Source organism: Homo sapiens, chromosome 10 (genome assembly GCF_000001405.40).
Source record: "Homo sapiens chromosome 10, GRCh38.p14 Primary Assembly".
NCBI lineage: Eukaryota > Metazoa > Chordata > Mammalia > Primates > Hominidae > Homo > Homo sapiens.
In genome coordinates, this window is record NC_000010.11 from 6981713 (window position 1) to 7004751 (window position 23039).

A 23039-nucleotide genomic window follows, 5' to 3' on the forward strand; every position below is an offset into this window, starting at 1 on the left:
GTGGATTTCATAGAGGTAGAGAGGATGGTAGTTTCCATAGGCTGGGAAGAGAAGCAGGGAGTAGGAAAAAGAACTGCTTATTAAAGATTCCATAGCCTCCTCATCATACCTCTTACACTGCCATTTTGTCTCTGCTTTTGTTTATTTGTTTTTTAAGCTTAAAAACCCTGCTTAAATAGTCAAGAGGGAGCAATCCTATTGGGAGGCATTTTTCAATGGGAGCTCAAGCCTCGATATTGGGAGAAATATTTCAAATTCATTTTCCAAGTGCTATCCAGGTATTAAGACTACAGTGTGCCCTGTTCTTCAACCCTTTTCCCATTTAGGAAAAAAATAAATGCAGCTCGCTGCCACCGTTTATTTAATTTTACATAAACAAGCTCGTTGAGGCCGAAGCAAATCTAAATGATTTTCAATGTGAAAATAAAATATAAAAACTGTTCTTGGAGTTGTTTCTAAACAGAACTTGTCTCTAATCCTAATGGAACATCATGATGTTCCAAAAGTATTCTCAGGGCAAATGGGAAATGAGTTAAACTATTGGGATTGTTATGGAAGAGATGCTCCTGACTTCTTTGGGTATTTAACTCAGATTTGGACAGTGTAATAGCCAAGTGATATAGCCAAGAAGGTTAAATAATTACATCCATCGAAGGTGACCCATTTCTGAATCTTTCCATGAGATCACAATGAGTTTTCTTTTATAACACATTTTTTTGTGTAACTTATGTTTCATACGACCAATAAGCCAGACATCGTAGTACCTACCACAAACAAACAAAAAAAGAACCATCAATTAATTGAAATCTCTTCTCCTTACCCTTCTCCACAATTGTAGGAATTTTCCTAACAACTCATGGCTTCCCCTGGAGACCATAGTTCATGTGAGTGAAACTTTGTGAGAGGTATTTCGTAATGAATTGTTAGCAATCTGTAGAGCTCTGCATAATGTTCTTTAGGTTAAAAAAGCCTTTTAGGATATATGTTGCTGCCAACTCATTGTATGAGATTGAGTACATTGCTTGCCTTCTTTAGGGCTCAGTTTTCTCACTTAAAAAAAGGAGATATTTATAATATTTACCCCATAGGGTTTTTGTGAACATTAAAATAAATGAAAAGGATGTGGCTAATTGCTGGGCACATGGTTAAATGCACAATAAATGGTAGGTAGATATTATTATTATGTTTCTTTTCGTTAGCCAACAGTTTCTCTGTCTTCATTCATTTTTTTCTGGACATGTTATATATAGCTAATATGAAAGTTCAAAGAGTAGATTTTTTCCATCGCTTAAAATTTACCTTCTCAACATTTACATGGTCTCCTAAACAGAGAGACAGAATTTATAAGGCACAATTAACCTGTCTTTGAATATGAATCTTTGCTTGTGTACAAATTATCTGATTTGCTACAACACACCAAAGAATTCCAAAGGTTTTGGAGGTTTTCCCCCTAGCAAGATCAATAGATTCCTCTCCCAAATCTTATTCTTCATAATTCCTTAGTAGTGATTCTGCTTTACATTCTCATAGCAATTTGTGATTTTCAAGCTTTATTACAGTATATGTGAAGTCTGCAACAGTTCAGCCAACAATGTATCAGAAATATTACTGTCATGAAAGAAAGTTAAGAAACAGAGTTTAGGTAACTTGACGATTGACCCTCAGTTAGTGAGAAATTTAGGGAAGGTGCTAACTTTATCTGCCATGTTTTTGTCGACATGGGCTATTAATCCCGTCATTACTGAGTTCAAAATAGCTCTGTTAATATTAAGAAGGACCCGGGGTGGTGGCTTAGGCCTGTAATCTCAACATTTTGGAAGGCCGAGGTGGGAGGATCCCTTGAGCCCAGAGTTTAAGATCAGCCCGGCCAACGTCTCTACAAAAAGTAGAAAAAATTAGCTGGGTGTGTTGGCGAGTGCCTGTAGTCCCAGCTACTTGAGAGACTGAGGCAGGAGCATCACTTGAGCCCAGGAGGTGAAGGCTGCAGTGATCGCACCACTGCACTCCAGCCTGGGTGACAGAGTGAGACCCTGCCTCAAAACACATGAGCAAAACCAAAAACAGATTTTAAAAATATTAAGAAGGAGGCACACAGCTGAGAAAGAATCACTAGATTTTTTCTTTCTTTCTTGCCTTCCTTCCTTCCTTCTTTCCTTCTTTCTTAATATTTAATTTTATTTCATTTGAAGTTCTGGGATACAGGTGCAGGACTTGCAGGTTTGTTACATAGGTAAACATGTGTTATGGTGGTTTGCTGCACCTATCAACCCATCACCTTGGTATTAAGCCCTGTATGCATTAGCTATTTATCCTGATACTCTCCGTTCCCCAGCCCCCCAACAGGCCCCAGTGTGTGCTGTTCCCTTCCCTGTGTCCATGTCTTCTCATTGTTCAGCTCCCACTTACGAGTGAAAACATGCAGTGTTTGGTTTTCTGTTCCTGTGTTAGTTTGCTGAGGATAATGGCTTCCAGCTCCACCCGGATCCCTGCAAAGGACATGATCTCGTTCCTTTTGATGGCTGCATAGTATTCCATGGTATATATGTATCACATTTTCTTTATCCAGTCTATTGTTGATGGGCATTTGGGCTCATTCCATGTCTTTGCTATTGTGAATAGTGCTGCAACACATGTACACATGCGTGTATCTTTATACTAGAATGATTTACATTCCTTTGGGTATATACCCAGTAATGGGATTGCTGGGTCAAATGGTATTTCTGGTTCTTCACTAGGTGATTTTTCTTATCTTGAAGTTACTCCCTGTTTTTGCAGGTAGACAGCTGCCTTGCTACATCCTTTGCTGCTTAGGATATTTTAAAAAATTAAATCCACAGAGCATTTCAATATCTGATTTAGTTCTTTTGTTTACTCATTTCCCATTTAGAAAACAAAACGCATAGCTGGCTGCCAGCACTCATCTCTTGGGGCAAATGGGGAATGGATTAAACTTCTCCCAGTCACGCCTGCAGGTATCCACCTGCTTATGACTATCAACGTGGACTTGCTTTTCTGTTTTGCCATCCTTTCCTACTTGGCATTTCTTGAAACTGACAAAAAGCCAGGGGTAGCAAAAGGCAAGAGAATAAAAGGTGTGAGCGGAGGAGTTAAAAAGAGACATGGCCCATTCACTCAAATGATAACAGCTTCCTCATAACTAAGATCTCGTATTTGATGTCCAGCCAGCTTTATGGTCTCCTGAACAGTTCACAGTGTGCCAAGCTTTGGGCAGAGCACCCTTTCTCTGGATGAAATAAATGTGGCTTCCAGTGGCCTGGTGACATCTGTTGTTCCTATTTAAAACTCAAGGGTATACCACCTTTTTCTGTCTGAGCTGTTAGCTTTTAAAAATACTTAAAAACCAATCAGCAACTAAATTGCATCTGAAGAGCTATTTCAATTATAGAATGGAGGCAGTTCCTCAGCAACCGAAGTATTTAAGAGCTGCGAAAATTAATGTGCATTTGAATGCTGATTTTCAGAGTATAATACACTTTGTAATTCATTTAAATGTATTCTGTGGGTTTTATTCTAGCTTAAGGCACAGCAGCAGTACTTGACTCATCATAAAACTACATTTTGAAGGATTTTTTTTTATAGAAAAGTATTTAAAACCTAAGAAGATAAACTGAGTGAAAGCATAATTGGTCAGAACCAGAATATAGATGGGTTCTTCTCCTTGAATAACATAACTTAAAAGCACTTTTGTGGGTGATCCTTGGTCCTTAAAGAGACAACCTGGAGTTTGGGTTTTATCAAATGAAAATCCCATCTAAAATTGCCTTTTCCTTGGTTGCCCGGCCGCAGATGCAGCTTTCGTGCTTTCTAACTAGGAGCCATGCTATTTTTTGAAAGCTACTGACGTGACAGATAAATCCAGCAGAATTAGTGCCTCCATGGTTGGTGTGTTTTAAATCTGAGTTAATCAAACATAAGCATTTGGCCCCAAAGCCATCGCAAGCAGTACATATGTTGACAGCCCAAAGAAGGTAGAGTCAGCAAAGGAAACAGCTGCTTTTGCTCACCAGTTACAGAAACTAAGATTAAATGGATGTGCGAGGGAAAAAAGTGCAAGCAGGAGGAGGTGCTCCGGGGGGGACGCGCCAGGCCCTGGGTCACCTTTCCGCAGCCTTTAGCAAGAAACCTGGGAAGGACGGATTTGAACCAGAGACCACGGATGCTGGGGGAAGCCTGTGCCCTTGCCTCATTCAAGCCCTCCCTCCTGTGGCATAGCAGATGAGAGACTGACTCCTCGACATGGAATGACAGTAGTCCCCCATGTCTGAAAGTATTAAATGGAAATTTCCAGAAATAGTCAATTCATATGTTTTGTGTTTTGTTTTTGTTTTTGAGATGGAGTCTCTCTCTATCACCCAGGCTGGAGTGCAATGGCACGATCTTGGTTCACTGCAAGCTCCACCTCCTGGGTTCATGCTATTCTCCTGCCTCAGCCTCCCGAGTAGCTGGGACTACAGGCGCCCGCCACCACGCCCGGCTAATTTTTTCTATTTTTAGTAGAGACGGGGTTTCACCGTGTTAGCCAGATGGTCTCGATCTCCTGACCTCGTGATCCGCCCACCTTAGCCTCCCAAAATGCTGGGATTACAGGCGTGAGCCACCGTGCCCGGCCAGCCAATTCACAAGTTTTTAATGGCACCCTGTGCTGAGTAGAGTAATGAATTCCTGCACTGCCCCACTCTGATCTGCCTGGGATGTGAACTCTTCCTTCATCCAGCTGTCTACACTATGCACCCACTGGTCACTCAGTAGCCACCTTGGTTATCAGATGGAGAAAACACAGTATATGAAGGGTCCGGTACTACCTGCAGTTCCAGACATCCACTGGTGGTCTTGGAACAGAGCACCTTTGGACAAGGGGCTGCTGTGCTGCAGCCTCACACAAGGAGCCAGGCCTGGAACCCGTGTTTCCAGTCCCTCTAACCAGCCCCTAGAAGGATCCAGACATTCTCTTTCTCCACCTCTTTTGGCAGTCATATGAAAAAAAAAAAAAAAAAGAAAACACACACACATATGCTTCTGTACAACTTCAAGCGTTGTCTGGGATTATCTCTGACTTTGATCAGTCCTAGATTCAATATTATTTGTGTTTGATTTGCCTGAGTTGCATTTTAATCAATGAGTTGCCCAGAGCAATGCACAGAGGACATTCTCTGGTTTCCACGAAGAATGCCTCTTCCTGAAGCTAATGCTTCTCTCTGCCTGAAGTCAGCGTGGCTATAAGTGGAGTCTCTTAATGCCCTTGAAGACAGAAGGAAGCTCCTTTCACAGCCTGCCCTGGAATTTCCACTGCACTCTTCTGGAACAGAGGTTCAGAGGCATCGCACTGGGCCCCAAGCAGACCAGTGAAGTGGTTACTCCTCCGTTTAACAGGCGGGAAACCGGCACCTATGTGGAGTGCATTTCGCTAGCATTACAGGGAAATGACAGACAGAACCACAGCCTCTGTGATCAGAGACGGCCAGGTCCGATGGGTCAGAAATATTTGGGAACTCTGTATTGCCCCCATAAAAATAAAGATCCCCTAGGGCTTAGCAGAATGTTTATGGGATTTGGTTGAACTCGATAGTCACAGGCGAAAAGTAGTTTGGAAGACGCTAGGAGCACCTAGTTGGGACTGTCCATCCCAACTCTCCAAACTCAGGAAACCAATAGTTCAGGGATCTAAAGAAGCCTCGGGCTAATGCACAGGCTGGGCTGAGAGTGTGGCTTCCTTGAGCTCTGGGTCAACTTTCCTGACCTCTGCTGGGCAACTAAAATCTGTAGGATTTGCCCGCTGAGCCATGACAGCCCAAGGCCTCTGCCCTCTGGTCCCAAAGGGCCCCCACTCCCCAGGCAAACCTAGTATCACAGCCCCCACGGAGTCCCAGGTACCTCCTGCCCGTGAGGCCTCCATTTCTAGGCCAGGGAGCCGGACCTCTCACAAGGAAACCATTGAGTCTGCTTCTGAGCTGTAGACAGGGGTGGCTTTCATCAAAATACCCACTGCTCCCCCTGACAGAACTGGGAACAGAGAGCGCTATTTATAAGCATTCTGGTGGCAATTTCCACAGCAAGGAGGTGAGGCTGGTTTCTGATTTACGCCTTTCCAGCCAGCTGTCCCCCGTCAGACTGCACATGCCGGCGTGACATTTCCCTCCAGCCAATTTCATCCTGAAAAGTTGTGTTTCTTTCACACTTGAATGAAAAGTAAGGCTCTGACTTGAATCATCCCTCACCTCCCCCCCCACAGAAAAGTGCAGTTTCCCAGGTTCTATCGGATTTGTACTCATGTCTTTCTAAGCTTTGGGGACAACACACTTTATCAGGGCTTCTGTGGTGTGCTGTGTGGAGTTTCCTTTGTAAATTCACTTGGGGAATTTAATTAAGAATTTGGGGAATAAACTGGGATCTGACTGATTTTTTTAAAAAAATGTATGTTCCTCTGTTCCTCTTTTCCTTTTTTTTTTTTTTTTTTTTTTTTTTGCTTTTCTCTACATTTTTAAAAGCAAAGAATATCCAGCCCAGGCAACATGGTGAAACCCCATCTCTACAAAAAATAGAAAAACTTAGCCAGGAATGGTGGTACGTGTCTGTAATCCCAGCTACTTGGGAGGCTGAGACAGGAGGATTGCTTAGGCCAGGAGGTCGAGGCTGCAGTGAGCCAAGATCATACCACTGCACTCCAGCCTGGGCAACAGAGTGAGACCCTGTCTCAAAAGAAACAGAGAAAGAGAGAGAGAGAGAGACAGAGAGAGAGAGAAGAGAAAGAAAGAAAAAGAAAGAAATAAAGAGAAAGAAAGAAAGGAAAGAAAGAAAGAAAGAAAGAAAGAAAGAAAGAAAGAAAGAAAGAAAGAAAGGAAAAGAAAAGAAAGAAAGAAAAAGGATATATCAAAGGTAGGTATTAGCAGGTAATTGAAAGCCTAGCAGACTTTGATAAAAAAGATAGGAGAAGAGGAACACCCAGTAATTCCAGTATCTTAAGTCAATGGGATGGCACCAAGTCCCCAACAACATGAAACAGAAAGTTGCTGTTAAGTGAAGACATGACTAATGGAAAGGACAAATGCCAGGGCTACAGGAGGGGTAGACGTGATCTGGGGCCTCAAGAAACAGGAACTGTAATACATCATGACACATCCGTGGGCCCATTACTTTGGGAGGGCAAGACAGGAGGATTGCTTGAGGCCAGGAGTTGGAGGCCAGCCTGGGCAACATAGCAAGACCCCATCTCCACAAAAAATTAAAATATAAACCGGGCCTGGTGGCTCACACCTGTAGTCCCAGCTACTCAGAAGGCTGAGGCAGGAGGCTCACTTGAGCCCAGGAGATTCATGCCGTAGTGAGCTATGATTACACCATTGCACCCCAGCCTGGGCGACAGAGTGAGACCCTGTCTCAAAAAAGATAAATAAATAAATGACACATCTCTAAGGCCCTCTGGATATTCAGTAGAGCCCCAGAGCTTTGGCCTTAGAGGAGGAATTATAAGGCCCCACCAGCTGGCTCCAAGACCATCCATTCTTACGGAACTTCACACAAGCCTTGCGTTTTCCATTCAGATTGTTCTGTTAGTGACACGTGGGGAACTTTCAGGAATCTAAATCACACCTTATGAAGTGGGTGAGAATCTAAAAATGAATAATATAACTAGCTGTGAAATTCTTCGTGTTATCTGAAATACATATGCCATAAACACAACAAAAATGATACTTTAAGTTGAGATCTGAAGGCAGACTGAGGAACAGGGTAAGAGAAGGTATATTCAGAATAAAATTCTACCAACACCTCCACTTTAGAAGTGTGTTTGGGCTGGGCATGGTGGCGTGTGCCTGTAATCCCAGTGCTTTGGGAGGCCAAGGTGGACAGATCACTTGAGCTCAGGAGTTCAGGATCAGCCTGGGCAACATAGTAAGCCCTCCACTCTGCCAAAAATACAAAAATTAGGTGGGTGTGGTGGTGCATGCCTGTAGTGTCAGCTACTTGGGAGGCTGAGGTGGGAGAATGACCTGGACCTAGGAGGTCGAGGCTACAGTGATACAGTGAGCTGTGATCACACTGCTGCACTCCAGCCTGGGTGACAGAGCAAGACTCTGAAAAAAAAAAATGTGTTCAGAAATACTAATTGAATTAGTAAGCAAATGAATTAATGGATGAGTCATGAGCATAGGGATAAGAACCATGGTTTAGACTTTTCTGAGAATGGGAAATTTAAGTAGGATTCAATAAGCATCCAAAGGGCAGGAGCAAAATTTCCTTATTAAAGTGTGAGAAGAACCCGGATGGCTCTCAGGTTTTCTCTACATTCTCAGATATTAAAGAAGACTTAGAAGTGAGTTAAGAAAATAATTGCTGCAAAAATACGGGAAAAGGCCAGATGATTGACAAAAATGATCATTAACCCCTATTGATAGTACCTCAAAAAACATGGTGTAAATTTATCATCTTTTTTTGTTACAAAATATTTCAAGGATGCAGAAAAGTGGAAAGAGTAAGCTGTGTTAAACCCAACACGTTCCCACGTTCACTTTAGATCTTTCTTGTCTTTTTTAAGAAATAAAGCAAAGAGGTAAAGTTGCTGTGTTTGGTTTTTTTTTTTTCCCTAATCCTTGTACATCTCCCTTTCCAGAAATAACCACTTTCCTGAAATTGGTGTTTGTCATTCCAAAACTTTTTCAAAAATTAAATTTTCTTACAGATGTACATACTCATACATCATGCAGTTTTACGTCTTTTTCACTTTTTTATAAATAGGGCTGTGCCATACATATCTTTCTATAACTTGCTTTTCTTACTCGATGTACTTGGAGGATTTATCCATGCTGATTTATGTAGTTCTAAGTAATTTATTTTAAACGATGTATAGTATGTATTATACTTTATGAATATACCATAATTTACATCTCCATTTTCCTGATGCTATATATTTCAGTTATTTTAAACTTTTTTTTTTCTGTTGCAAACAAGGCTTCCCTAAACGTTTCTGTTTCTTTTATTGAGCATATCACTAAGTGCAACCCCAGGGCGAGAGTTCTCAAGCCCGGCTGCACATTACAGAGTATTTTAAGTGATTTAAGAAAAATACTGCTGCCGGGCCCTACATCGGATTCTGATTTAATTGATTAAGGGTCTACAGCCTAGAGATAGAAGACAGAATATATACAGAGTTATAGATTTGGAAATAGCTGGAAATGATACAAGATACAAGAAAAATAAAGCAAGGTAGTGCTACAGGGCCTGGATCATCAGGGATGAGCCTCCCACAGAGGTGGTGTTGAAGCTGAGACTCAATGACCAAGGTAGGGGCCATCAGAAGATCTCAGAGAAAAAGCTTCATGCTAGAACAGATGGTAGGAGGAGGTTTATCAGTTTGAGAAACAGGAAGGAAGGAAGTGTGTCTGCCACCTGCCTCTAAATTTGTGGGGCTTGGGCTAGAAGATCAAGGCAGGCCAATAAACCATATACCTAAACATTTAAAAATCATAAATTAGGCCAGCCATGGTGGCTCACACCTGTAATTCCAGAGCTTCAGGAGGCCAAGGTGGGAGGATTGCTTGAAGCCAGGAGTTTGAGACTAGCCTGGACAACAAAGTGAGACCCCATTTCTACAGAAATAAAAATATTAGCCGAGCATGGTGTTATATGGTTGGGGTCCCAGCTATTTGGGAGGCTGAGGCAGGAGCATTGCTTGAGTCCAGGAGTTGGAGACTGCAGGGAGCTCTGTTCACATCTCCACTCCAGCCTGGGTGACAGAGTGAGATCCCGCCTCTTAAAAAAAAAGTCATAAGTCAATCAAACTATTAAAAAGCATGTGTTCTATTTTCCTATTTTAACAAACATGCCAGCATAATGACAAAATTTTTAAATATGGATAAAGCTATGGTTCTCTATCTGACAGCAAATCATCAAAATACCAATGACAACTGAATTTATTATTATTGCGCATGTCTGGGCATGCTGTGGGCATGCATTGGGTAGACCAATGATGCTCGAAGAAGTAATGAAATATGGGTAAATAATTCATAAATTATTTTCTATTTATTTCTCTAAATTTGTTTTGCTGGATTGATTTCAATAAAATCACTATTATGTTGTCATAATCAATATTCACACAATTTGTTTTATTAATAGTAATGATCTAAAAGATTAAAAATAGTTTTACTTAAGATACACAAAATTTAAATATATTTTCATTAAAAACATGAATTAGAGGTGGGGGGTCAGCCCCCCGCCCGGCCAGCCGCCCCGTCCGGGAGGTGAGGGGCGCCTCTGCCTGGCCGCCCCTACTGGGAAGTGAGGAGCCCCTCTGCCCGGCCACCACCCCGTCTGGGAGGTGTACCCAACAGCTCATTGAGAACGGGCCATGATGACAATGGCGGTTTTGTGGAATAGAAAGGGGGGAAAGGGGAGGGGAAAGATTGAGAAATCGGATGGTTGCTGTGTCTGTGTAGAAAGAAGTAGACATGGGAGACTTTTCATTTTGTTCTGTACTAAGAAAAATTCTTATGCCTTGGGATCCTGTTGATCTATGACCTTACCCCCAACCCTGTGCTCTCTGAAACATGTGCTGTGTCCACTCAGGGTTGGATGGATTAAGGGCGGTGCAAGATGTGCTTTGTTGAACAGATGCTTGAAGGCAGCATGCTCGTTGAGAGTCATCACCACTCCCTAATCTCAAGTACCCAGGGACACAAACACTCTGCCTAGGAAAACCAGAGACCTTTGTTCACTTGTTTATCTGCTGACCTTCCCTCCACTATTGTCCTATGACCCGGCCAAATCCCCCTCTGCGAGAAACACCCAAGAATGATCAATAAAAAAAAAAAAACAAAACAAAAAAAAACATGAATTAAGGTTAAAAAGTTTAACTATCATTTGTTTCATGTTTTCCATAAGAAAACATATTTTCTTCTAAAATACAAATCATGATTAATCAATATCAAAATATTTATTCAAAATCACTTAAGAAATGTTAAAGTTAAAACTTTAGAAAGTTTAAATAAATCTCATTAAACATTTTTATGAATATAAAATAATTTACAATTCAAGTGTTGGATCTATATCTGGTTGCTAATTTAAGAATTTTTACCACTTTTCGTGTTACAGCTAGTCTCTTATGATTTCAAAACTGAAGTTTTAGTATTATTTAGGTATGGTGGGGGCGACAGTTCAGGAGACAGCTGCCATCGAAAAGATAGTTTGTTACTCACAGATCCCAAAGGAAGAGGTATGGCATGCTATGGGGGTAACGTGGAGACACCTGGGTCACTTAGGAGGCAGAGAGTGGGTGAAAATGTGGACAAGAACCTGTATCGTGGTCTTCGTGGGAAGGAATGGTGGAGACAAGGTGAGCAGGTTAGGATCAGCTAGTTGACACGTCAGCAGGCTCTGGGGACATCTCATAGGAGTCCCCTGTCCACAGCTGCCTGGCACCTGGCATCAGGGTGATTAGAGCAGGGGATAGTGGCTCAGAGTGTGAGAATCGGGCACAGGAGGTCTTAGAAATAATTGGCTGGGGCCAGGCATGGTGGCTCACGCTTGTAATCCTAGCAATTTGGGAGGCCAACGTGGGTGGATCATGAGGTCAGGAGCACGAGAACAGCCTGGCCAACATGGTGAAACCTGTCTCTACTAAAAATACAACAACAACAAAAAAGTTAGCTGGGTGTGGTGGTGGGCTTCTGTGGTCCCAACTACTCAGGAGGCTGAGGCAGAAGAATCGCTTGAACCTGGGAGTTGGAGGTTGCAGTGAGCCGAGATCATGCCACTGCACTCCATCCTGGGTAACAGAGCAAGACTCCATCTCAAAAAGAAAAAAAAAAAAAAAAAAAGAAGAAATAATTGGCTAGTTTGCATACAAAAGGTATGCTGATAGGTGAGTTGTTTGCCTTCTCTAGGAATTGACTAACCCTGGATAGGCGAGGGAAGAGTTCCTCCAAAGTTAACAAGACCCCAAGATGTCAAAGCATCAAAATATAGAAAACAAAAGCATGAATAATATATGGAGGGAAAAGCATGAATAATTAACACATATAAACAAATTTAAGAGTAAGATGAACTGTTTATATTGCAAATTGTTCCTAGGTGACCTCTGTAACTATTGCAAACAGCAGTTCATGTGCAGAACCTAAGCCTACATGTCTATGGCCGCTGCTGGCTGGGGCTGAACAGTGGCTGCAGCCCCCAGATAAGCACCATCATCCCAGTATTCCAGCCTCTGCCACTCCCTGCCATTCCCAAGGTTGTGGTCTCACGTTTTTGCCTTTTGCCACCATGCCTTCCCTATTGCTTTTTAAGGAAGAAAACGATAGCTATCTCGCATTCACGTTTCCGAGAGTTGATAAAACAAGATCCACCAAGAGGCCAAAGCTGTTAATCAGAATGGGAAAGAACTCGCTTTTTTGCTAGATGAAAGAATAGTCCTGTATGTTTAGTATAAAAAAAAGTGTTTGGTATGAAAAAAGTTTGTTAAAAGAATATAATTTAGAAAGTCAATATAAAGCAATTCACAGTAAGTTTCACCTGAATCAAGTATGACAAAAAAATCTAATGAAATGAAAAACAAAATAAAATTTCAAGAGGTTTATTTATAGTGTGAGTAAAATAAGCAATGCTGCTGGGGAACACAGTTATACATTAAGTGAAAACTTGGCCCAGGCATTAAAACCTTTTCAGTTGGTGAGTTTATAGCGAGCATCTACAGAGGTGGCTAGGTATGGGAAAGAAAGAAGCATTTATAAATCTAACCACAGTTGCTTTTGTTCTGAATTCTAACAATAAAGCTGAGAATTTTCAGGGCAAGTTGCTTAAAAATAGATAAGTTATATGATATTTTCTATTACAGTTGAGGCAAGCACAGATGATAGCTGCCAGTTAGTTGTATTTGTTCATCTTTTCCATTGAGTTTTGATATGACCAAACCTCTGGACATGGTACCAGTGACAGCTACACATATCAGGACATGACATGTTGTGTTGTGTTGAGAAAAGTTTTGGAAAATTTAATGTGAACTGGTCCCAATTAGTAAATTGAACTACAGATAAGCTACGGTCAAGGTCAGAGTTAGACTTGCTAGCGTACTTAACTGCAATATGTTAATAGTGTGCAAAGGCATTGTATTTAGCTGTTAAATCATTCACTCAGGAATAATAGTTTATTATAAAACTTTAAGAAGTGCAACATCTTGAACACTCTCTGCCCCTAGATGTACAACCAGAGACAGATTATACCTATTGGACTCAAAGTGTGGCATGGTGTTACAACATGGAGGTCAGATGATCTGGTTGTGCCAGGTGACAAAGAGATTTGTATCAATTTTTGGCTAAAATAGGCATGTTACTTCAATACAAAGAAAAACATCTCACCACCTTTCACCAGCAAAGCATGAATACAGGTTTAGCCTTTTGGGTTGACATTAACACGTCCCATGAAATTTTAACTTCCTACGAAGTTGTTCACATGTCATTTTAAAAGAAGTCATACCACTCAGTTTCCCTCTCAAACCAATTTTCTGAAATGCAAATGAAACACTTCCAAAACTGTAGATCTGAAGACTGAATGGCAAAAGAAAAAAAAATCTCAGATTTCAAACTTTATGCAGTGCACTTACAGGGTTCAATTCACACTCTGATTTAATGTAATTTGAATAAAAACTACAAATGGAATTTACTGTACTACACTTCACTGAAAAGTAAATTTTACAATGATGTTAGAAAAGCAGAATTTTACAAATAGCTCAAGAGTAGTTACTTTAACAATGAAAATCACTGTGCAAGAATCTATCCACATTAAAATACCTATATTTGTGAACAGCTGGTTTTCATTATGAAACCGCAGAAAACTACATGTCACTGACTGTTAAAGGTTTAAGGATGAATTCTGGTTTACACAGAACACACAATCTGACATTGTCACGTTCGGACAAAAAAGTAAAAAGGAACTGTCATGTTTCTATATCCTAGTCAAAAGCATGATGAATGACAAAATTAAAAATCATAAAGCATAAATAAAAATTTTAATGAATTGCATATTAAAATGTATTAAAATATATTATAAGACATATTAAGTACATTTATTTTAACTTTTACTTTCAAATTGATAACATATTCTCTACTATTACACATATTTTGTTATGACCTTATAATAATACATCTTTAAAAATAGAGAAAGATTGACTATATTTCTGGCAGCTTGTTTTTCTTCTACTCAATTCATTTCACTCATTCATTTCTACATTCCTGGCCCTATAGACACGTCACTGTGTGATCCCTGCTGTAGACTGTGAGTTCCTCATGGACGGAGACAAAGGCAGGATATGATTCCACCAGCTTCCCCTTCTGCTCTTCAATGATTCATCAATCACGTAACAGATATTTCTTGGTGCCCTACTATCTATCTGGCACTGTAGCTAGTGCTGCAGTTGCAAAAATGGGTAAGACAATTCCTGTGTCAGGAGCTCAGATTCCAGGTGGAAACCGAGCAAGTGTTCAGTAGATGTCTGAATTGAATTGATTATCTGTCTTTTACCGCAATGCCAAAAAAAAAAAAAAAAAATTCTAAGTTACAAAACTTATGGATCCAGAAGAGGTTCGTTGCAATGTAGAAGGTAATATAACAGCTTATAAAATTCCTCCCCAAGAGAAAAATTATTCCTCTCTGCAGGGTTTGATCTGCGAAAGCATCTGGCACAATGGGAAGCATCAGATTTTGCATTCATGATGAGTAAAATTTAAGTCCCTGAAGCTAATTAGTAAATTAGCATATAGGCTTATTCACCTGAGACCCTCCAAGCCCTTTCCTATGGCTGCAGCATGAAGTAAGCTTTCCCCAGGAGACGACATTGAAACGTATGTCTAAATAAACATGCCTTTGTCTTCACTGACATCTGAATCTATTTCTCTTTGTCATCACACTTGGAATCCAGAGGACTGTACTTCTAAGCCTGGTACATTCAGCTCAACACAGCCAGTGAACAACATTTACATTCCCGCCTCCCACCCTACATAAACTTTTCTTTAGGTTGTGTCTTAACACACAGCTGGGCTGCTATCATAGGATATAGGACGGTACCTCTTTCATGACCTAAGGAGTTGCACAAAATTTAAAGACATAGATGAAAATAAAAAATGACATGGAGGCTTCTGAGGTCAAAAGGGAAATACAGAAATTAATTGCATGCTTTTTTTCTATTTCAATTTAAGAAACATTTAATTTCTTATCATTTATTAGCCCAGAAAATACAGTTGTTCTTTGAGCTACTATACTTTTTAGTTATTTGCTAGCATTGTCCTTCTTCCGCCATGTTAATCCACATAACCCAGCTGAATTCTAGTATAAATCATGCTATTATATCAAGTGCCCATCCTATGCAAGGCCCTGTAGGCAGGAGAGCAACTAAAAAGGTTTTCCATCAAAGACAGAATGAAGGATGAATGTAATTGATCAAGTGAAAAAGACAACGTATGAAATCCAGGCAGTCACAAAAGTATGAAATATCATGGTGGACAAAATGAAAATATAAATTGTTTGGATGGCTGGGGTAGCAGAGAAAGAGCAGATTGCCCATCTGCCTGGGACCTGGGGCTGGATCCAGCAGCCCAGGGGCCAATCACTGCTCAAGGGAAGGTTTGCTTCAGAGTCATCAGGAGATTTAAAACACACACACACACACACACCTACCTTTTTCTTTTTATCTGGCCAGCAGACAAGGTAACTTAGATTCAGTAGGTATGGGGTTGGGACCCAGAAATATTTGTCTAAATGCTTTCCGGGTTTCAGTTCAAGATGGCAGACTGAGAACACGTATGTGCCTCCCTGAAACTTTACTGAAATAGTAGTAAAGAAGGACTAAGTGATTTACCCACACCCATGAAGAGAACAGAAAAATTGCAAGGGGGCCGGAGTCCATAATCTATTACTTAAGGGAAAGGCTGCAGCAGTTATAAAAGCCACAATTTCTGGCAGAGCTACAGAAAGGCTTCAAAACTGGTGTTAGCAGGAGTGGGTAATGAGTAATGTGACAAGAAAAATAGGTGATTAGAAGACAGTCTAGGGAACAGTTGAATCCTCCACTTCCAACTCATGTAGAATAACTGGTAACCCAGCTGCTGCTTCTTTTTAGGCTTTTTTTTTTTTTTTTTTTTTTTTTTACAGCAGATTTAGGTTCACAGCAAAATTAAGCAGGAGGTACAGAGAGTTCCCTGTATCCCCTACCTCCACATGTGCACAGCCTCACCCAGTATTAACATCCCCCACCAGAGGGTACTTATGTTGCAACTGATGAACCATCATTATCACCCCAAATCTAGAGTTTATATCATGGTTCACTCTTAGTGTGAACGTTGTATGGGTTTGAACGAATGTATAATGGCATGAAAAATCCACTGTTGTAGTATCACAAAGAGTGTTTTCAATGCCCTAAAATTCCCCCATGCTCCTCCTAATCATTCTTCCCCCACCCTAAACACCCAGCCTTTAACTACATAGTAAAGATGTTCTTTGAATGAGTTTTTCCAGAAATCTGAGAGATGCAATTTCTAGCCTGATTAACTTCTCCTTGGCTGAAGGCACAGGAAGACAAGCCCTCCCTACAGTTTTCCTGGCAAGTGGGGAATGAGAATACTCCACCCTGCTACAAGTACTCCTGAGGCTCAGACCTCACCAGGGACCCAGAGGAAGTGTGGAGGAAGATGAGAGCTGAAGTTAATTTCACTCCTGTTACATCGCAGCCTCAGGACAACTAATGATAGATGGTCTTTATGGTGATTACTATCAATCTTACTAGGGTGGCAATAAGAATTTTAATATAGAGCTTCAAAACAACCCAGCCAGGGCTGAGGCTGCCCCTTCTCTCCTCTTACTGCAAACACTGGCAATGGGAATCAAACTTTCCCTTTGAATTATATCTCTCAGAGAAGAAGGTATTCTCTGATAGGTAGAGGGACAAAAATAAGCCAAAGCTCCCCTTTGCAACTTTCATTGATTATCTTTGTTTTTTCCCTGGAGAAGAAAATAAACCAGCAGGAACAGGTGGTTGATGCTGGAGGAACCCAGCACTAGATTTGGCTGGAAAGGAGATGGGGGATCAGGAGTCTTAAACCCAATGCTCTTGGGAATCCAACTTGTCGTGTGACGCATAACATCAAGAGACTGCAGACCAAGGCAAGTTTTGGAAACTGGTGTGAATCAGTCCTCAGCCACTTGCTGAAAAAAATCACCTTCTTCAGGAGAGGGCACTGACAAGGACCAGGAATGTTTTCAGAGCTGCATCCAAATGGGCTGAGATACTCAAATCCCACCATGAGGACCTGGATGAGGCAGAAGCTCAGTCCTGGAACTGGACAAATGTAGCTTGCACAATGCCAATCTATCAGGCAGCAAAGCCACAGGTCCATCTGCACATGGCTTCTCAGTATTCCCCCTGGTCTAAGGCCCACAGTCCTATATTAGACCCCACTAGACTGTGGGCCCAAATCTGAGAAACTGCCCTGCTTTGAACAGAATGGGTTAGAGAAAATGCCCTTAAAATTCTTTTGCAATCTCACATGGCAGGAGTGAAGAAAGGAAAGAACCCTCAATTTGTAGTATTGAGAAATTAGCTTTTGTGGTGCAGGGGAGATTCCCTAATTTTTTATTGAAAATAAAACAGGTTTAATGCACTTGTTTTTAATGTCTCTTGCTCTACAATGAGGTTTTGTGGCTGATTTTCACACCGTGGGTCACTGCAACCTTTAGGTCTTTTCTTTTCTATACTCACACTCAATCAGCCAGTGCTCAAGCTATACCAATGTTGCACACACCTGAGTGTGTGTATGGGAAGGTGGGGCTGGGGGTTGAATACATCCCTTTGCATGTGTCTCTAGTGAGTTTAGTTCTGGTAGGTTCTGACCTCTCCTCTGGCCTTTTGAATGGAATCAGTCTGCTGCTCACAAACTTGGCTTTGTTTGAAAATGAATAAACCACTCTTCATCCCACAGTCCATTTAGGAAACCAAAACAGCCCTAGACCCAGGGTAGACTGGTACAGCACAGCTTTGGCACAATCTCCACCCACCCCTTCTCTTCACAAGGGACCATGGAAAATGCATTGAAAATGCCTCCTGGATTCCCAGTTCCAAGCCATCTTGAGCCATGCAACAAAGAGAAATGGTCGTTTTAAAGGTTCCTTTCTCCATGTGGATCTGTAATAACATTCCACATGAAGAGGATTTTTGTTTATGCATTTGCATATTCATTTTCTTTCTCTGTTGTGACTCCCCACGAGCTTTGCACAAATCCTGCCTCAATACACCTTTTGCTTTCAAAGCACCAGGCACACAGCTATTAGTTTTAATGTCTGTTTGTAAAAGTCGGCCCTGAAATTTAAAATTCAGTGAAATCTCTACACATGTTGAGATCACAGTTGTAAAGTGGCCCTTTTATGAATACCAGGGAAATAATAGAATCTTCACTTGCTTTCTGAGGCTGCGGCCGCAGCCGCTGCTGCTGCCTTGGTTACAGCCATGTGGGTTCTCAACAAGCTCTTAATTTGAATGGGCTGTTTATGTTCTGCTTACAGGAGGCAAGCCTAGGTATGAAGTCCACTAACCACAGGAGAGCTGGACTCGGTGAATTACTTTCTTTGCACTAAATATGCTCTATGTGACTAGCTCTCAGCCCACTTACAGCAACAGTGCAAGTGATAAGTGCTTGTGTTGGTTCTCATTCATAGGTGGGAATTGAACAATGAGAACACTTGGACACAGGGTGGGGAACATCGCACACTGGGCCTGTCGTGGAGTGGGGGGATGGGGGAGGGATAACATTAGGAGATATACCTAATGTAAACGATGAGTTAATGGGTGCAGCACACCAACATGTCACATGTATGCATATGTAACAAACCTGCAGGTTGTGCACATGTACCCTAGAACTTAAAGTATAATAATAATAATAAAAGAAATAAATTGGATCTCTGATACCCCCACTACCTCAAGCAGAGACTGATGAGTCAGTTCTATAAATAGATGCCATCTCCTCTAAACACAGGAAGGGGGTCTGTCTGGAGGTAGTATCTGTCCCTGTGCTGCTGGGGGGCGCTAGGAGATTACCTGTACACCTGTTTCGGTCAAGCTGTACCCCTGGGTCATCTGCCCAGGGCACAAATCTGTGGGGTCACGAGTTTCTGGGTAATTTCAGAGCCTTTTGTGGGATTACCCCTCATATTCACCCCCACTCAATCGTTCACCTGTTGAGAGCTGGGAGGAGAGGAAATGTCACAAGATGGTATTCCTTCTGCTGATTGATGCTGCAGTCAAAAATTATCCTTCTCACCCGGAAAGAGACATGGTACAGGCAAACAAGACAGTGATAGCTGCACAAGGTCAAACCAGAAATGAAGAAAAGCCAGAAACCGGGGGCCAGCCAGTGGGTTGGAAGCGACAGGACCACATCCATGGGCACACTAATGCCCAGACATGGGAGGTGATAAGAAGCAAAAGATACAAAAGAGGTGGGATGGTTGTTAAATTGTCTGCAAGTCCTTTGGCACTCTTCCCACAGAAGGTAGAGTCTAATTTCCCTCTCCCTGAATAGGGATCAATCTAGCGACTTGCTTGTGAGGGATAAGATGCATCAGAAGTGGCCCCCTGTGACTTCTGTGGCTAGCTTTCTGCCTGGTTCTCTCTTGGGACAGGTATCTCTGGAGCCCTGAGCCACCGTGGAGGATGCTGACCACCCAGAAGCTGCCCTGTTACAGAGAGCCCATAGAGGTAGCTGTGCCTGAGGGGCCCGAGGGATTCAAGACCTCAGTGCCTTGATCTTCGTAGCCAGATCCCAGGCACAGGGTGTGCAGAACTTCAGATGATTCTAATTCCCCGATTCAAGCAGCTGAGGCCGGGTGGGACAGAAACAAACCATTCCCACAGAGCAGTTTCCTAAGAAGCATCAATTAGAACTGTTGTTCTAACAAATCCAGGGAACTGAACCTGGATAAGATATAGAAGCTGTAGGGATGCAGATTTCAGCTTTCTGTAAAAACAAAATAATACAGCAGAAAGAAAACAAATTATATAAAATCAGAGGGGCCAGGTGCAGTGGCTCGCATCTATAATCCCAGCACTTTGGGAAGCCGAGGTGGGAGGATCGCCTGAGCCCAGGATTTGGAGGCCAGTCTGGGAAACATAGCAAGACCCCATATCTATAAAATTTATTTAAACTTAGCCAGGTATGGTGGTGCACCCTTGTAGGTGTTACTCTGGAGGTGGAGGCAGGGGGCTCACTTGAGCCCGGGAGGTCAAGACTCCAGTGAGCTATGATTGCACCACTGCACTCCAGCCTGGGTGACAGAGTAAGACCTAGTGTCAAAAAAATAAAAATGAAAATAAAAATAAAATCATAGGAACAAAACACAGAGCCCCACCTTAGCCACTGACAAACTGATTGAGTGGTTTGACTTATTTGACCTTGAGTTTCTCATTTTTAAAATGATATTACTGATGATTCTTGCCTCACGGCATTCCGATGATTAAATAAGATAACATATGCTTTGGAAGCTTATAAAATTGTAAATTCCTAAAATGTGCAACAATTGTTAATCTTGCTGTAAGAAATTAAAGATGAATGCTCAGAAATTGAGCATTCTTGAGAGAGGGCATCTCATAATGGAACCCCACCAACACAGTGTTCTCCTGCTTAACGAGTTTGTGTCCAGTAAATAAACGAATGAGTGTATTGCCTTGTATGGGTCCATTCTCCCGACAACAGCCGGGATACAAAGCAACCAAATACATCTAGGTGAATGAACAGGCACTGCTCAAGAATAACTGAATTCTCGGCATTCCTCCACGACAGGCTCTCCACCCACCCTTGCATCTATAGCCATACTCAATCCATGGACAATATGTGGCTTCTTCAGTCATGGCGGAAACTTGCTGCCCAGATCCCTCTTCAAGGAGGGACTTGCTGTGGAGTGTGGTCGGCAGACAGCCTCAGACATCAGCTCCTTTAAGGCTCACCTCAGCTGCAGATGGTGCCCCAACCCAGGCGCATTCCCTTCCAGGAACAGCCTGCATCTGGTGACCGGGTGTGAAACGCTGCCCAATTCTGCTGAGCACCCTGAATGGCACCACTCACTCCAGAGCTCCCTGAGCCTTTGTTGGGTTCCATGGCACCTGACTTCCTCTGTCCCATTCTGCTTCCTCCCTCCCATCACAGCTATTGATCCCTAGCCAGCATCTTGCATCCCAAACTTGGTCTTAACATCAGCTTCCAAAAAGCAACATTAGTTATTTCAATATTTACCAGCACTGAAGAAAAAGCAGAAGAGATTTCCTCATCATCTCCAACTGGACAAGGTGAAGACAGAAAAACGTTCTCTTTCTCTCTGCAACAGTGGGGCTTGACATTTTTGTTGAGATATTTTTCTGGATACCCTTAGAATACTGGGGTTTGGGGCAGGATGCTTGCAGGAACTAAATTGTGTTTGTAGTCAGCGTGCCATTCACTCGACTGCCCTTCAGCAATGGAGCGTTCTCTGAGTAAAATTGTCCATTGCCCTGAATAGGCTATGACAGTGTCTCTAAAAGTTACATGACTAGTTAGGGAACATATGTTATATCATATCCCAGCTTACTCATACATGTAGGTTTCATGTGTGTGCATGACAGAAGCAAGTCTTATGATATAGCAGGTATAAAAAAGTGCTCTGATATTTTCTATTCTATTTTGTTCCTTTGTCTTTAATAATGCCTGTTGTGACCTACTAAATTGATTTTATGACCCACTAGGGTCATGTTTTTTTTTAATGTGTGTATGGAAAAATAAAAGCTCTATTTTATACTTTTAAGGCAAAATGTGTTGCATATATGTAAACACATGATTGGTCCTCTACCTAGTGTTTCTCGTTTTTTTCTTTGATGGCTTATAACAAAGAATATATTTTACACCAAGACCCACTGTACACAGAGAAAAGTTTCATGACACAATGTCTCCCTTGTATATAGAAAGCAGTCTCCTGTTTGCATTTTCATTCATTTTATTTTGGAAATGGTTAGAACTCAGTAAGTTGATTTCATAATCCATGGTTTAGAAAGCATTATTCTAATGTAAATGGAAGAGTCCATCAGCTCAATGTTCTACTCGAGACCTATTCAAATCACATGTACTCTCAGTTGTAATTAAAACTTCTTTTACACACTGATCAAAATGTGGCATCCTGACCAGGAACAGCAAACCAGGGCTCTCGTGGTGGTGACAGGAAAACGATGGAAGCACATGATAGAAACCCTGACATGATCAACCACAGTGACATGTGCACACACAGAGCTGGAGGCTGGCACTGAGGTGAGTGTGTGTGTTGCATGTGGGCACTGTATTTGCAGTCTCTAATCTCTGTCTGGAATGTGCACGCACACACACACACAGAGCTGGAGGCTGGCACTGAGGTTAGTGTGTGCATTGCATGTGGGCACTGTATTGGCAGTCTCTAATCTCTGCCTGTCATGTGCACACACATGCACACATACAGCTGGAGGCTGGCATTGATGTGTGTGCATTGCATGTGGGCACTGTATTTGCAATCTCTAATCTCTACCTCCTACAGACCCCTCAGTTCCCTAAGAATGTTTCACAGAAACTGTTTAAGCTGTGTTTTTAAAAATACATTTCCCTGAGTTAGTTACTTCATACTTCTGCAGTGCCGCAAGACATGATAATTTCCTATCAATTCCTTCCATTCCAACACCCGTATGTTACCACTAGTTGTCTTGCCCAGCAGTTTTAAAAATGTAATGTTTTAGCAGGGTACTGGTACCAAAACAGACATATAGACCAATGAAACAGAACAGTGACCTCAAAAATAACACCACACATCTACAACCATCTCATCTTTGACAAACCTGACAAAAACAAGCAATGGGAAAAGGATTCTCTACTTAATAAATAGTGTTGGGAAAACTGGCTAGCCATATGCAAAAAACTGAAACTGGACCCCCTTCCTTACACCTTATGCAAAAATATATACACCTTAACTCAAGATGGATTAAAGACTTAAATATAAAACCTGAA

At 41.8% G+C, this 23039-nt stretch overlaps 1 long non-coding RNA gene across 5 annotated transcripts in view, besides 1 other annotated feature; it reads right to left on the reverse strand.

Moving 5' to 3' along the window:
• The window catches only part of LOC105376387 (uncharacterized), a 294200-nt gene that overhangs the window by 157443 nt on the left and 113718 nt on the right, over window positions 1–23039 (reverse strand). For 3 of the 5 annotated variants that reach the window (NR_188186.1, NR_188184.1, NR_188185.1), the window contains exon 1: window positions 5893–5966. The exons of 1 other annotated variant lie outside the window; for it this stretch is intronic. This is a non-coding gene — a long non-coding RNA (uncharacterized LOC105376387). Of the gene's footprint in view, window positions 1–4823; window positions 4982–5892; window positions 5967–23039 lie in introns of those variants that run through there. One more of the 5 variants, NR_188187.1, reaches the window with a different exon arrangement.
• Window positions 13227–13396: an enhancer, noted in NCBI's record as "experimental_16768 CRE fragment used in MPRA reporter constructs". NCBI's record gives its function as "activates a minimal promoter by MPRAs in K562 erythroleukemia cells, with activity observed for both the introgressed and non-introgressed 10:7036986 variant alleles {active_cell/tissue: K562}" and the evidence as "EXISTENCE:reporter gene assay evidence [ECO:0000049][PMID:34662402]".